The following is a 16131-nucleotide window of genomic DNA, read 5'->3' on the forward strand; positions in this document are numbered from 1 at the left end:
ATTGGGTAATAAAGAAATGAATGGGTTTAGCTCTCTTTAATGTTGACAAATTAAGAAAGGAATATGTGCTTATTAAATAAAATATGAAAAACACACATAGGCAGAAAGAAGAAAAAAAAGTGACCATAGTCCTACTACTGGGAGACAACCGCTACTTAGCATTTTGGCTAGTTTCTACCATTAAAAAAATTGTTTTTTTTGTTTTTGTTTTTGTTTTTTTTTGAGAGGGAGTCTCGCTCTGTCGCCCAGGCTGGAGTGCAGTGGTGCAGTCTTGGCTCACTGCAACCTCTGCCTCCCAGGTTCAAGCAATTCTCCTGCCTCCCGAGTAGCTGGGACTGCAGGTGCATGCCACCATGCCCAGCTAATTTTTATATTTTTAGTAGAGAGGGGGTTGCACCATGTTGGCCAGGATGGTCTCGATCTCCTGACCTCGTGATCCACCTGCCTCGGCCTCCCAAAGTGCTGGGATTACAGGCGTGAGGCACCATGCCCAGACAAAAAATTTGTTTTTTTAAAAGAATCGGCCGGATGCAGTGGCTCACGTCTGTAATCTCAGTACTTTGGGAGGCTGAGACAGGTGGATCACCTGAGATCAGGAGTCGAGACCAGCCTGGCCAACATGGCGAAACCCCATCTCTACTAAAAATACAAAATTAGCTGGGCGTGGTGGTGTGTGCCTATAATCCTTGCTACTCGGGAGGCTGAGGCAGGAGAATCGCTTGAACCCTGGAGACAGAGGTTGCAGTGAGCCAAGGTCGGGACACTGCACTCCAGCCTGGGTGACAGTGAGACTCCATCTCAAAAAACAAACAAAAAAATCGTAGTAAGAACACTTAATATAAACGGCAACTTTATATCCATTGAATAGCAACCCCGATTTCTGGTGCTCTGCATGTTTAGAGAAACTTCTCTAGTAGCAAACTACAGAAAAGATCCCTGAATGTGTGGGCTTTCTACCATTTATTTTTAACAGCGAGAACAAAGGCATCAATTCAGCCAATGGTTTCAGAACCTGTTCTTCTTTTTTTTTTTTCTCACTCCATCATCCAGACTGGAGTGCAGTGGTGCCAACATGGCTCACTGCAGCCTCCACCTCTCTGGCTCCAGCGATCCTCCCACCTCAGCCTCCTCAGTAGTTGGGACTACAGGTGTGTGCCACCATGCCTGGCTAATTTTTAGTATTTTTTGTAGAGAAGGGGTCCGCCTATGTTGCGCAGGCTTGTCTCAAACTCCTGGGCTCAAGCAATCCTCCCTCCTTAGCCTCCTGAATAGCTGGGACTACAGGTGTGTGCCACCATGCCCAGCTAATTTTTGGTATTTTTTGTAAAGAAGGGGTCTCCCTATGTCACCTAGGCTGGTCTCAAACTCCTGGCTCAAGCAATCCGCCTGCCTTAGCTTCCCAAAATGCTGGGATTACAGGTGTGAGCCACCATGCCCAGCCCATTTTCTTTTTTAAGGTGGCATTTTTTTTAGTTTTAATTTTTGTGGATATATATATATATATATTTTAAATGGGGTACATATTTTGATACAGGCATGCAGTTATAATAATCACATCACGGAAGCTGGGATATCCACCCCACAAGCATTTATCCTTTGTGTTACAAACAATCCAATTCTACTCTTTTGGTTGTTTAGATGCTTCATTTTCTTTGTTCCTTTTTTTTTTTTTGAGACAGAATCTCACTCTGTTGCCCAGGCTGGAGTGCAGTGGCGCGATCTTGGCTCACTGCAACCTCTGCCTCCTGGGTTCAAGAGATTCTCTTGCCTCAGCCTCTCAAGTAGCTGGGATTACAGGCGTGCGTCACCATGCCCAGCCAATTTTTATATTTTTAGTAGAGACGGGGTTTCACCATGTCGGCCAGGTTGGTCTTGAACTCCTGACCTCAGGTGATCTGCCCACCTTGGCCTCCCAAAGCGTTGGGATTACAGGCGTGAGCCACTGCACTTAGCTGAGATGCTGCATTTTCAATGCCAACCCCTCAATCCCTGCCCATTGTGTGCACTGAGACCATCAAGTGATTTTTTTATATATCCTTCATGTAGACCTGCACTGGCTAGTACATACAATAGCTGCTTGGCATGTGTGACTGTGTAAATTCTAAATTAGTTAAAAATAAATAAAAATCAAAATTCAGTTTCTCTGTTTAGCCATATCAAATGCTCAATAACCACATGAGATTAGGGGCTACTGTGTTGGAACAGGGAAGATACAGGACATTTTCATTTTCACTGAAAGTTCTATTAGACAGTGCTGGTGTAGATTCTGACCTGCTCAGCTCAGCCTTAAGAACAAAGTCTTGAGCCTAGCACGGTGGCTCACGCCTGTAATCCCAGCATTTTGGGAGGCTGAGGTGGGAGGATCACTTAAACCCAGGATTCGAGATCAGACTGGGCAATACAGGGAGGCCCTGTCTCTACAAAAATACAAAAAAATCAGCTGAATGTGGCAGTATGCACCTGTAGTCCCAGCTACCTGGGAGACTGAGGTGGGAGGATTGCTTGAGCCCAGGAGGTTGAGGCTGCAGTGAGCTGTGATCACACCACTGCACTCCAGCCTGGGTGACAGACAGCAAGACTCTGTCTTTAAAAAAAAAAAAAAAAAAAAAAAAAAAAAAAAAAAAAAAAGATAGCATTTTTTACCTCAAATAATGACAGAACGCAGAATATTTCTCAGCAATAAGAAAAGCCACCCCAAGAAGCAGCAAAGAGATGGGCTCACAGTCTCTGAAAAGGAAGTCAGTCATTAGCCACCTTCTGACATCCTAGCAATTAGCTGGTCTTGGGAGAAGAGCAGGTATCTCCAGAGAGGTGCCAAATAAATAGGATAAGAGACTATAAAAATGAAAAGCCTTTTGGCCTTTCATCACAGGATAATCCAATGCATGCGAATTAATGGTGAAAGGCTCAGTAATAGCCTTTGTGAGGAAATAGGAGCAGTGTAGCAGGATATCCTTTTTCCGCACTAAAGCACCCAATTCTTTCAATTTTATATACAGCGGAAGCAATTAATTGTACTAGAAAGAAATCCACAGCTGGCTTTTCCTGATGGCCTCATAAGCAACAAGCACTATTGTTCAGTTTCCGGGACAGATGTAAAGTCATTCTATTGCACTGCTGAGATTTTTCTGAATGTTTAGTTTGACTTCTCCAAAGATAACTTATGTGTTAACATCTAAAATTTGATTCGTCTTGTCATCACACATTTTCAGTATAAGCAACTGTCAAAAAGTTAATTTTTATTGTGCTATTGCACTCCAGCCTGGGCAACAAGAGTGAAACTCCATCTCAAAAAAAAAAAAAAAGTTAATTTTTGATTTGTAATATAATCCAGCACGTGACTTGATGCTGGTATTTTTTCCAAACGTTATGTGACTGAATCATGTTATTCACTTTTGTTTGTTTTACATGTTTACATGCAGTTGAACTGCACTGCCTCTGCTTTTGTGGTATCATCCACAGTGTGGCTATTCAGGAATCAGGCATAACAAGATTATACATCAAAAACTCAGAAATTTAACATTTCAAATGCTGGCCTGTATGGCATTGCTTCACCTTCTAGATGCATTAAAATACACCATATTTCATTAATTCTCAGATGCACATTTTTTTTGACATTTGAAACTTTCTGGAATTGCGATATCTTAATTAACGTGTCAGGGTTTAACTGGCAAGGTTTTTCTTCCTTAGTTGTACATAAAATAATGATGGATCTTATAATCAACAGTATCCATGCTGTTCTTTGGGTGGAAAAAACCCACAACGAAACAGTACCCTAGTTTTGATGACATATGGTATACATAGTTAAAATCTCATGAGTATGATGTGTTATTGCAAGTGTAACAACAGAACAACTCTTTATTTATTTTTTCTGAGACATGGTCTCCCTCTGTTGCCCAGGTTGGAGTGCAGTGGCATGATCACAGCTCACTGCAACCTCTGCCTTCTGGGCTTAAGGGGTCCTCTTGCCTCAGCCTCCCGAGTAGCTGGGATGACAGGCAAGTGCTACCATGCCTGGCTAATTTTTGTAATTTTTATAGAGATGGGGTTTTGCCATGTTGCCCCGGCTGGTCTGGAACTCCTGGACTCAAGCGATCTGCCTGCCTTGGCCTCCCAAAGTGCTAGGATTACAGGGGTGAGCCACTGTGCCTGGCCTAGAATAACTCTTTTTACCAAGAAAAATATTCACGTCAATCAAATAAATAAAAACTTTAATTACATATCTTATATGGGATTCTAACTGACTTCATTCTGACAAATATACAATTTGCCACTTTCATTTTTCTCTCTATCAATCAACCAGTTCTTTTAAATAATATCTACTCTTTTTTTTTTTTGGTGCTGAAACCCACAGTCGAAAATATCTACTTTTCTGATTATAAAAGTAACATTGGGCCGGGTACAGTGGCTCACGCCTGTAATCTCAGCACTTTGAGAGGCCAAGGCGGGCGGATCATGAGGTCAGGAGTTCAAGATCAGCCTGGCCAACATGGTGAAACCCCGTCTCTACTAAAAATACAAAAATTAGCTGGGTGTGGTGGCGCACACCTGTAGTCCCAGCTACTCAGGAGGCTGAGGCAGGAGAATCACTTGAACTCGGGAGGCAGAGGTTGCAGTGAGCCAAGATCATATCATTGCACTCCAGCCTGGGCGACAGAGCAGACTCTCAAAAAAAAAAAAAAAAAAAAAAAAGTAACGTATAACATTGTCCATTGTGGGGGAGATAAAGCTTATGGAAGAAAATAATAACCATCCATTAGGCCACCACAGAACACTGCCAACGTTTTCTCTTTATTTCAGGATAATCTATTTCTTTATAAACACACATATTTAATAATACAAAATTAACAAATGCTTAAATATATCTTGTCAAATGTCCTGAAAGGTATATAATGTTACACAATAAAAAAGCGGGTTCTTTAAGCAAGCCAGGGACCAGCCTCCCCATTGCCACTGGAGTAGAATTTTCTGGTGTTCGACAGGATCACGTGCAGATGTTGCAATGCATAATTCCAGGGAGCACCATTCGTGTCAGGCAGGTTGCGAATGGCACCCCCTTAAAGTTGTGCAACCTAGCAACCCTGGTGCTCAGTACCGTGACCATAGCGACAGTGGTACATACGCAGGGGAGATAGACAGGAGGGAGGATGCAACAGCACAGCAGATGCATCAAGGAGTTTGCAACTACCCACCAACCTTCAAAACAATGGATTCGCAGAAGCAAGGATTCAATAACTGGTAAGCTCCAGTGGCCTGGGACTGCTTTTTTGATACTACGTGTATTTTGGTACTCCCTAAACTGTCTCCCTCAGGCTGAGAGGCCCCTATTTATGTTGAAGAACAAAGGTATGAAAACTTATTTGTGAGAAAGACATAAGAACAGCTAAGCTATGTGGAAAGTCAGTGATGTAGACCATTGAGAGAAAAGCCTAAGGAGATGAGGATGGAGTAGTCAAAGATGACTTCTTGGAAGAGGTGGTACTCAGGCAGTATAGGGAGGAGAATGGCATTAAATGGAGAATGAATATGGTCCATTCTTCAGAAAGTAGTGAGACCAGTCTAACGAAATGTTACTCTATAGCAGTGTTTTCAGATTTAATGGGACTGGTGTTTCACAATAGAAATCTAAACAACTGGGCAACATTAGTTGAAAGAGGGAATGACCAATTAGGAGGAGAGCTAGCAGCATTCAGGATCGGAGGAAGAGGGGCTTTAAGGTAGGTAGCAAACTAAATGGAAACTAATCTGCATTTTAAAATAAACACTGACAAGTATTGGTTACTGGTTATATATATGACTATGTATGCCTTTGAAATAATAAAGGAAGTTGTTTTAAAGTTTATTTATTGAGAACAAGTTGTTAGATGATAGTTCTGTTATTATGATGTACAGGATTTGTTAGTAGACTCTCATTCCAACAAGATAAGTGCTTTATCATTAATCCTCAAAAATATGGAAAAACAAAACAAAACAAAACACCTAACCCTGCCTTGGCTAATAGAAATAAAAAGAAATGCGCCAGGGCAAACTACCAGTAGAGAACAAAATTAAGTATGTCATTCATTTAATAAATACTTACTGACTACCTACTGGTGTGCCAAGCAGCACACTGGATACAATGGAGTGAGAATGAGACAGTTCCCATTCTCTGAACTTTTGAGTCCAGCACAGGGTCAGGTACTTTCAACATATCCGATGGGTAAACTAGTATGCCTGGTCACACTGGTGACACCACACCACATCTAGGAATACATCCCAATTACCATGTAAGCCATGGACAGTAGGCACAGTATGGTGTTCATGAATCTGCACTCCTGATCCAGATTTTATCTCCCCAGTTATCTCAGCTTGAATCTTTTATCATCGCACCTTGCCTTCCTTTTACTAGTCATTCCCAAGGTAATCATATTCAGCTCCACATGCTGGATTTCTGGACTACTAGCTCCAAAGGAATTCTTGAGTAGAATCAGTGTTTAGGGATACTAAGAAGAATCAGACATGGGTCTTTTCATTTTTGAATGTATGTATGGGTTTTTTGTGTGTATACACACAAACATATGTACATGCATACGTACATATATGTACATATGTGTACATGCATACTTACATATGCACACATATGCACGCATACACATGTGCACATATGCGTGCGCACATGCACATGTGCGCACATACGCATATATGCACGTGTGCACATACGCATATGCGCACGTGTGCGCACATACGCATATGCGCACATATGTGTGCACACATACGCATATGCGCACATATGTGTGCACACATACGCATATGCGCACATATGTGTGCACACATATGCATATTTGTGTGTACATATATACATATATGCATATACTTACATATGTACACAAACACCTACACACACACACAAAGTTCAGACTAGAAATCTATTTGAATTATATTCAATAGATTATATACACACACACCCCTATTACACTTGGATTAATTTTTAGCCAGAAAAAAATATATATATAGCTTTTTTTTTTTTGAAACAGAGTGTCGCTCTGTTGCCCGGGCTGGAGTGCAATGGCGAGATCTGGGCTCACTGCGACAAGCGATTCTCCTGCCTCAGCCTCCCAAGTAGCTGGGACTACAGGTGCCTGCTGCCACATCCAGCTAATTTTTGTATTTTTAGTAGACACAGGGTTTCACCATGTTGGCCAGGCTGGTCTTGAACTCCTGACCTCAAATGATCCACCCACCTTGGCCTCCCAAAGTGCTTGGGATTACTAGCATAAGCCACCACGCCCAGCCAAAATTACATATAATACACCTTTAATATGTACTTAGTGTATGTCCAGAGCATATATATTATATATAGTTTTCATCTGGTTAAAAAATAATCCAAGTGCAATAAACCAGGTGCTGTGAGGATAGGGAAAAGCAGGGCAGTGAGCTGCAGCAGGACAGGGAAGGCCAAGATCTACTGTGGGCTGCGTGGGAGTTGGGGTAGGGAGGCCCCAGCTCCCGGTGCTCGGTGGGAGGAACCATAGTCCTCTAGGCAGTGCCTGATAGCCAGAGAGTAGTGAGCAAACAACAGGTGGTAGTCCAGGAGCGCAGTGGGGATGGGGACATCCAGCCTGAGGTAATGGGGGAAGGGAGGCCCAACAGATAGATAGAATACAGATACAGGGAGCCTAGAAACAAAGAGCTGGAGGCAATTAAGTGATGCCACCAACAATACCTACAACTGCCCAGCAGTCTGGGTGCAGGGATGCAGCTAAGTCCAAACAACAAGCAGAGAAATTCCAGGTCCTGGCAAGCTAACAGGTCAGGGTTTCAGACACAAGAGAAGGGCTGTCAGTTCTTAGAAAGGGGCGAGGCAGTGGGAGGCTGAGTCTTGAGCTTGGGACCAAAGCTCTGATAATTCTTCCTGCCTCAAGGCCTAGGAAAGATCAGGTTCTATGGTAAAGGGTGTACGGATAGTAGGGAAAGGAGGAATACAGAGGCCACGGACTAGGTAGGACCAAGTGAGAGCAGCAATATCCTCCATCATCTATCTTTCAATCATAGTAGCCAGTGCTTTGAGGCAAAGATAAATTAAAATGGAGCTAAGGGAGAAGGAGCAAGTTGTTTAGAAGTAAACAAAAGAAGTAAAACACTGTACCACCACAATGAAAATGAATTCAGGTTTTTAAACTTCCTCTATTTTGTGCACTGAATTATATACATCCATCTTATTCTTAACCACAGTTTCTGTTTCAGTTTAGTCCTTCTAAGCCATGATGGGGTACTACTAACCAAAAAAAAAAAAAAAAAAAAAAAAGATGTAGTAGTGTCCATGCTGAAAAATGAAGCTGTTTATTCTCCCTAACACCTACCCATTTAATATTGGGTTTGAAGCCAACCTAAAGGGTCACCCTACCAATGGCATTCCTTCACTCGTGCCTCCTTACTGGCCTCTAACTTATCATCAGACCCAGAGACTTCGTGCTGCCTTTTGCCTTATAAGATCTTTACAACATGAAAATGACTTTGAATGGATTAGCTTGGATTAATCTATTCACCTTGGATCCCTGAAGGCAGAAGTCCCATTTCACTGAAGAGGATGTGATCCACAGCTTTCCCAGCCAACCTTCACTCTTTCCAAGATAGCCATGCCACCCTCTAACACTAAAAGGGTCTTGGTGACAAGGTTTAGAAATGCCTAGAGGATATGTATGCTTATTTCTCTTCTCTCATTTAACAAATATTCACTTGCCAGGCACTAGGCTCTGAGGAGAGAGTTGAGAATAGATTGACAAAGTCAAGCTGGCCTGTAGTCCCAGCTACTTGGGCGGCTGAGGGGGGAGGATCACGTGAGCCCAGGAGTTCCAGGTTACAGTGAACTATGACTATGCCGCTGCACTCCAGCCTGGGTGACAAAGTGAGAACCTGTCTCTAAAAAAAGAGAGACTGACAAAGTCTTTTGCTCATGGAGTTTATATTCTAGTGGAGCAGAGGGGCTCAGACCACAAACAAATAACTAAATGCACGATGTAATTAATGAATGCTGCTTTGGGCATGTAACAACTACCTCTCTTGTGACCTACCTGGACAGAAGAAAAGACCATTTCCAGCCTATTCTAGTAACCCACTTAAAGGAATACCAACACATTACGGAATGTTAACTGTGGATCCCGAGATGTTGCTTTTGAGTTTGGGGGCCAGAACACACGTGTCCAGATGTCTCCCTGGGCAGACAGACCGGAGAAACGGGCTGGCATGCATAAACATGCCAGTAGCCAGGGAGAACAGCATGCCCCACTAGCTGCTGGTAGCCAGGGCGCTGAGGATTGAAGCCTGGGTACTAGCTGGGCCTTATCAAAGGAGAGCGAAAAATTCCTGAAGATTTGAAAAGGAGAGTCTTTTGCAGAGAAGCAAACATATCACGACTTAAAATTTGATGCTTCAATTTTGCTCTCATTTCTACAGTGGCAGATAACACAAGCCAGGGAATACTCATTTGTACATTTCAGAAACTTGATGTACTAAGGTTCCCACCTGAGATTGTTGTCTATTTTATAGACCAATTCATATGTCTAAAAATCCAACTAGACTATAAAGAGCATAATAACACGCTTGCCATGGTTTTCTCTGCCGACACATTGCTCAGCATACGTCAATGAGAGCTTTGACCAATCAATGTGAATCTCCTTAAGCAAAAGGCCCATCTTTTCCTTTAGAACTAAAGCTGGGGCTGGGCGCAGTGGCTCACGCTTGTAATCCCAGCACTTTGGGAGGCCGAGGCGGGAGGATCACGAGGTCAGGAGATCGAGAACACCTATTAACACGGTGACACCCCGTCTGTACTAAAAATACAAAAAGTTAGCCGGGCGTGGTGGCGGGCGCCTGTAGTCCCAGCTGCTCAGGAGGCTGAGGCAGGAGAATGGCGTGAACCCAGGAGGCGGAGCTTGCAGTGAGCCGAGATGGCGCCACTGCACTTCAGCCTGGGCGACAGAGCGAGACTCCGTCTCAAAAAAAAAAGAACAAAAAAACCCCAAAAAACAAAAAAACTAAAACTGGGTATTATGAAGGAAACTTGAGAAAGAAAAGTGACCAATTTTAGTTGATGCAAGTAATCTCACGTATCCTCTTCTTCCTGCATAGCAAGATACTACAACCCATGACTGTCAAACCTGAGACAGCTGAAGAGCCCAGAAAAAAAGATTAGGGAAGAAAACAGAATTGAAAAATAATTCAGAATGACAGAGGCTATCTGCAGCATTAAGGGCAAAGGCGGGTAAAAGAAGAAAAGGGAGACAGAATAAAAGATAAACCAAAAAATTGAAACAAAATACACGGGAATTCAAACATTTATACCAGAATATAAGGGAATACCCTGGAATCTAAACACCTCTTCAGGCAAGAATGTGTGTCAATACAAATGCCTGGCACATTGTTTTCCTTCCCCCTTTCTTTTTACCCAGTTTACCCAGTTTTAAAAGTGATTTTTTAAAATGCACCTTTAAAAGAACATCTTTTGTTAAGTGACTTAAACTTGATACATTTCTTGGATTACTAAGGAGGTTAAAGTCACATTTGGTGAAAAAGGGGCCTATCTCCTCTTTCCTCACATACGGGTCATCGAATACTTTTAAAAGCATTTTCCACCATGAATGAGGGGAAATGGAAGAAAAGAGGTGGTGACAATTATTTGCATTTTCCAAATGGACGGAATGAGCCTCCGGAGGGTACACGAGGTCACCAGCGTGAGCCCGCGGTGGAGCTGGAGGCGTATTTATAGCTGGCTGACCTCAGTCCTGTTGGGCCCTCGCCGCTCCTTATCTTATGCCGCTGGAATTCGCGGGCTCGCAGGTCACAGGAGCCCGGGCGCGCCGGGCCTGGCGCTCCCGAATCGATGAGGGAAGCCGCTCTCCCCGGCAGATCCTCCCGGCCGGGGAGCCTCCATCACCCTGCCTGCGCCTCGGCACGCTGGCAAGGAGCCCGGGAAGAGACGCCGGGAGCGGTGGGTGGGCGAGAAACAAATGCAATGTGACTTATATTTTTCTTTGTCGCAACTACCACGACCTGGCCATCCCCCACCTTGGTGACTTGGTGCCTTCCCAGCGACCTTATTTCACGCCAGCTGACTGGCGTTCACCGCAGTGTGAGTGTCGGCCGGAGGAGGGGTCCACGCGAAAGAGCCCGCGAGAGTGGGGATATCCGGCCCCGAAGGCCGGAGCGGGCGTCCAGGGCGCCGATGGCCGCAGCGCCCGGCAGCCGTGTCCACGCTCCCCTCCGCCGCGTTCCATCGCGTGCTACCTACGGCGTCTGCGGGAAGCTACCCGGGCGGCAGCTGTGGGGCTGGCTTGTGGGGAGGGGCCGGCGGGCCCGCGCGGAGGAGCAGCCCCGACTCCCGCCCGCACCAGCAGCTCGGCGCCCCCTTGCCGGCGGCTGGCCCTCCTCCCCGGCAACTGGGCGCCGGGCTCCGCGAACTCTTCGGGCGCTTCCGCCGTGCGCTCGGCTCTTTTCGTGTCCGGGGCGGGGCGGGGCAGGCGCCCGTGGTCGGGTGCGCGCGGCGCGGGCGGGGGCCTTCCCAGTGCGCGCGCGCCGTGCAAGGCCCGCGGACGCCCGCCCCTCCCCCAGGCCCCCGCACCCGCGCCGCCCCCTCCCCTCCTGGCAAGAGTCGGCGGCGGTGGCGGCGGCCGCTGCAGAGATTGGAATCCGCCTGCCGGGCTTGGCGAAGGAGAAGGGAGGAGGCAGGAGCGAGGAGGGAGGAGGGCCAAGGGCGGGCAGGAAGGCTTAGGCTCGGCGCGTCCGTCCGCGCGCGGCGAAGATCGCACGGCCCGATCGAGGGGCGACCGGGTCGGGGCCGCTGCACGCCAAGGGCGAAGGCCGATTCGGGCCCCACTTCGCCCCGGCGGCTCGCCGCGCCCACCCGCTCCGCGCCGAGGGCTGGAGGATGCGTTCCCTGGGGTCCGGGTGAGTTGGGAGTGCGCGTGCGGACCGGAGGGGCTGGCCGCAGCGGGGAGGCCAGAGGGGCTCGGGCGAGGCTGCAGAGGCAGCTGGGCGCGCGGTGGCCGGAGCCAGGGGCTGCCCGGCCCGGCCCCGGCAGCTCCGCAGGCCTCGGCGCGCGCTGGGCCGGGACCGCCCAGCCAGAGACCCACGGCACCCCGCGCCGCGTCCCCCGCCGGCCCCTCTTTTGTCTCCCACTCGCGGGTTGCAGGCCGAGTTTGGGGATGCGGAGTGGGCGAAAGTCGCTCCGGGGACGCTTCTGGAATCCTTAAATGGGAAAGGCGCTCACCTCCCCGCCCCGGAGCGGCGAGGCTGATATTTGTGATTTGGCTCCGGACGCTGTGGGGAGGAACAGGGGAGAACAAAATGAGTTTCGGGCGGGGGTCGAGTGAGAGGAGCAGCCGGCCCGCCCCCGAGTCCCCGCGGGAAGGGGCCCTGGCCCCCGAGCTCCCGGAGCTGCTTCACCTGTTGTCCTGCGCGGCCTCCGCTCCGTGGCCTGGTGATTCCGTACTTCAGTTTTGGAAAACTTTCTGCTGGATTGCCTGGACCCTTTTTTCTCTTTCCAGACTCCTAGTGGAAAGATTTGGCAAGGAAAAAAAAATGAGCTTGCGTCAGGGAAGAAAAATAATATGCTGTGTGTTAGGGTCTGGCGTTTGAGCGTGGTACTCTTTCATGCTCTCAGATGTTTTAATTTGGTCAAACTCCTGCAGGTTTTCTCTTTTAAGCGGTTAACAAACTGTTCAGAGTACATAGTATGAACTTGGCACCTGTGTTACGTCATTTAATCCTTACAACGATTCTGGTTTATTGTATTCCTCATTGTTTTAGGGGAAGAAACCGAGTCGCAAAGAGGTTAACTAACTTGTCTAAGGGAGCTGGGATTTGAACCCAGGAACATCGTATTCTGGCAAACGAATTAGGAAGAAAAAAAACCAAAACTGTTTGCAAACACTTTTACGTTTAGGAACATTTTTCAGTTACTCTTACTTGAAATTATCGCTATTTTGTTGCTGGAGTTGAAAACAACTACTTTATTGTATTTACTTGTGAGAGGAGTTAAACTTTGAATTAGAGTGTAACTTAATGCGTCTCATTGTTTTCAGTTGTTGAAATAAAGAATGTGAACCAGAATTATTTAGATTTTTAAATTTGAAGCTAAAATATGGGCAATTCTCTGATCTAGGAATGGGGTGAGTGTATGAAAGGCCGATTGAAATGTAGAATGCGTTTTTAGTAGAACCAGACTCAGTTCTTGTTTAATTTTTCCTCCATTTTCCGTGGAGCCCACTTTAAACTTTTTCTACTTTCTTCACTTCTCCCCACCCTTTACAGAAGAGGTTGAGGCACTTAGCAGGAGCTCCTTCATTAAATTCCTTCTGTTACTGGCTTCTTAACCTTCCGTCAAAGAGGGAGAATTTTTTTTTTTTTTTTTGTCTTTCTTATTAGTTAACACCTTGGGGTTTTTTTCCTTTCCTTCTAATTTTCCTGCTTAGTGGAGCGTGAGTTATTTTCTCTGTCGTATTTGGGTTCTTTAAAGTACAAATGTTCTTAAGATTTTTTCAGTTTACAAAAACCTTTTCTTAAGTCTGCTACTCCTTCAAGCTGTCTTGTTGCTGCTTTTCCTTTTCAAATCTTATTAACATTTTAAAAAGCTTGTTCGTAATAAAAGTAACACATGGTTGTTAATTGCGAACTAGCGCAACATTGAAATTAAAATTTAGTCATTCACAATCCATCTCTAGAGATTGCCAAGTGTAGTCTGCTTTTCCTGCCTTTGCCTGGTTGGTGGCTAGCCACTCATTTCTTAACCCCTTGTTATCTGGATTTCACCTTCACAAGGAACTATAACCTAATCAACACATTTAACTACCTTTTTCTAAGTCCTCTCCTTGAGTTTTCTGTAAGATTTAACATCGACTTCACATTTTCAGATGCCTCTCCTTGGGTTTCATTCATCTATACTCGCTGTATTCTAACACAGGGTCCAAGGCAGTAAGATACAACAGATCCTTCCCTCATGGAGCTTAAAGTCTAGTGGGGAAATACTTATTGAAAAATAAAGTCTCTAGTTAAATATAATTGTGATTTTAATTAAGGTGCAGAATATTATAAGAACTTCAAATGGAGACCTGATCTGGTGCTTGTGGTGGTGGGAGAATCTGGGAAAGATACCTTAAAATTGCTTTGTTGGAACCCAGGCAGATTGTGAAGGATGAGCAAGAGTTAACTATTAACTAGATGAAGAGGGGCCTTTTGTGACATTATACTGACTTTGTTCCTCTCCGCCACTTTTCTGCCTTCTGTTTCTTCTTTCCTCTTTAATATGCGTTCTCCAAGTTTCACTTTTCAGATCACTTTTCTCTATGTCTCTAGTCCCTTAGAATGATTGTTCAGACCTTTCTGTTGGAATAATTCTCAATTCTTTGTTTATGTGTCTTCTGAATCACGTTTTTTTGTTTGTTTGTTTTGTTTTTTCTTTTTTATTCAGTTGCTTTCTACATATCTGTACCTGATTGTTCTGAGCTGCTTTTCCTTAGCAAACTTGCCTCTTTGGTGTTCTTTATTTTTGTTGATGTCATACCAAACCCAAACCTTTTCCCATTTCATCATATCTTGTCTGTAGCCAACATCTGTTGATTCTGCTTTATGATATTGTAACTCTTCTGCTCTCTATTCTTGCTAACTGTGGGGCAATTCTGAATTCATATTGGTGTGAAGGTAGTAGTCAAATCATAAAACGAGTTGGGCAGCTTTCCTTCTTTTTCTCTTTTTCAGGATCATTTTAGACTGGGATTATCTGTTCCTTGAAAGTTTGGAAGACCTCCCCTATGTGACCATTTAGGCCTAGATCTTTTTTCTGGAGAGGACTTTGAGTAACACTTCAATTTCTTTAATAGCTGTTGGTTTGTGTCGATTTTCTGATTCTCATATGAATTTTAATGTTTCACATTTTTTTCAGGAATTTATTTTCAAATCTAGTGTTATTTGGCTTTCACGTAGTTCTCCCCCCACCACCCCGCGACTCCACCCCCACCCCCTAACTCTAAATCAAGTTCTCATCCCACCTGGACTAATGTTATGATTTTCTTGCCTTCACTTTTCTCCTTTATCTAATCTTATGTATTTCTGCCTAAATTAATCTGTAAGCCCAGTTCTTACCACTTCGCCACTCAGAAGTTTCCTAGGTCTTCCATTAAATGAAATATTTTCTGTGGTATTTGCCTCAGATTTACCTGTTTTTTTTTTTTTTTTTTTTTAATACCTTATTGTTTTTTCTTTCTTTCTTTCTTTCTTTCTTTTTTTTTTTTTTTTTTTTTTTGATACAGAGTCTCGCACTGTCGCCTGGGCTGGAGTGCAATGGCGTGAGCTCAGCTCATTGCAACCTCTGCCTCCTGGGTTCAAGGGATTCTCCTGCCTCAGCCTCCCAGGTAGCTGGGACCACGCCTGGCTAATTTTTGTATTTTTAGTAGAGGTGGGGTTTTGCCATGTTGGCCAGGCTGGTCTTAAACTCCTGACCTCAGTTGATCCGCTCGCCTCAGCCTCCCTGTGCTGGGGTTACACAGGTGAGGCACTGTGGCTGGCCTTTATAGCAGTTTTTATACAAATATTAGTTTCACTACTAGTTTGCAGGGTGGGTCTGTAACGGACTTTTCTTGCATATTAAAAGGAATAAATGGGGAAAGGCTCCTGTCTAGCCTAACAGTAGCTGTTGAACTGTCCTGATCTGACTATTGGATCTTAGGAGCAGCGAACCATGGAGAGAAAGGAAAATGGGTTTCCTATCACACTAAATTTTGAAGTAGGAACCATTTCTTTTCCTTTTCTACTTTCCCACCTTTTACTAGTTTTTAGGCTTTAGGATGTCTTTTTAACATCACAAGGTCCATATTGACCAAGTTGGACCAACTTTTTAACACAAGATTAAATGTTGACTTGCATTGAGTTATGTCCATTGTAAGATACACAGTAGTGTTACAGACCACTTAAAATATGCTTCTAGTTGTAAGAAGCCATTGATTGTAAGGTGCACCCCAATTCCGGAGATGCTAAAATATGAAAAATGGATGCATCTTAGAATTGATGAATAGTGTTTCTCTCCCTAATCAAAGCTCTTGGATGTGCCTGGAAATCCCCAGTAGTGTTTTTTGAAAAGAACACTAGTTAGGGGCATAGGGA

General features: G+C 44.8%; 1 protein-coding gene across 35 annotated transcripts in view, besides 1 other annotated feature; it reads left to right on the plus strand.

Moving 5' to 3' along the window:
- Window positions 10766–16131, plus strand: part of BMPR1A (bone morphogenetic protein receptor type 1A) — a 177082-nt gene continuing 171716 nt past the window's right edge. For 30 of the 35 annotated variants that reach the window (NR_176213.1, NR_176212.1, NR_176211.1 and 27 more), the window contains exon 1: window positions 11622–11922. The gene's annotated coding sequence lies outside the window, so the exon portion shown is untranslated. Of the gene's footprint in view, window positions 11108–11621; window positions 11923–16131 lie in introns of those variants that run through there. The other 5 variants (NM_001406562.1, NM_001406568.1, NM_001406567.1 and 2 more) reach the window with 2 other exon arrangements.
- Window positions 11135–12104: a silencer, noted in NCBI's record as "silent region_2573". NCBI's record gives its function as "represses an Ori minimal core promoter by ATAC-STARR-seq in GM12878 lymphoblastoid cells {active_cell/tissue: GM12878}" and the evidence as "EXISTENCE:reporter gene assay evidence [ECO:0000049][PMID:35858748]".

Source organism: Homo sapiens, chromosome 10 (genome assembly GCF_000001405.40).
Source record: "Homo sapiens chromosome 10, GRCh38.p14 Primary Assembly".
In the NCBI taxonomy this organism is placed as follows: domain Eukaryota; kingdom Metazoa; phylum Chordata; class Mammalia; order Primates; family Hominidae; genus Homo; species Homo sapiens.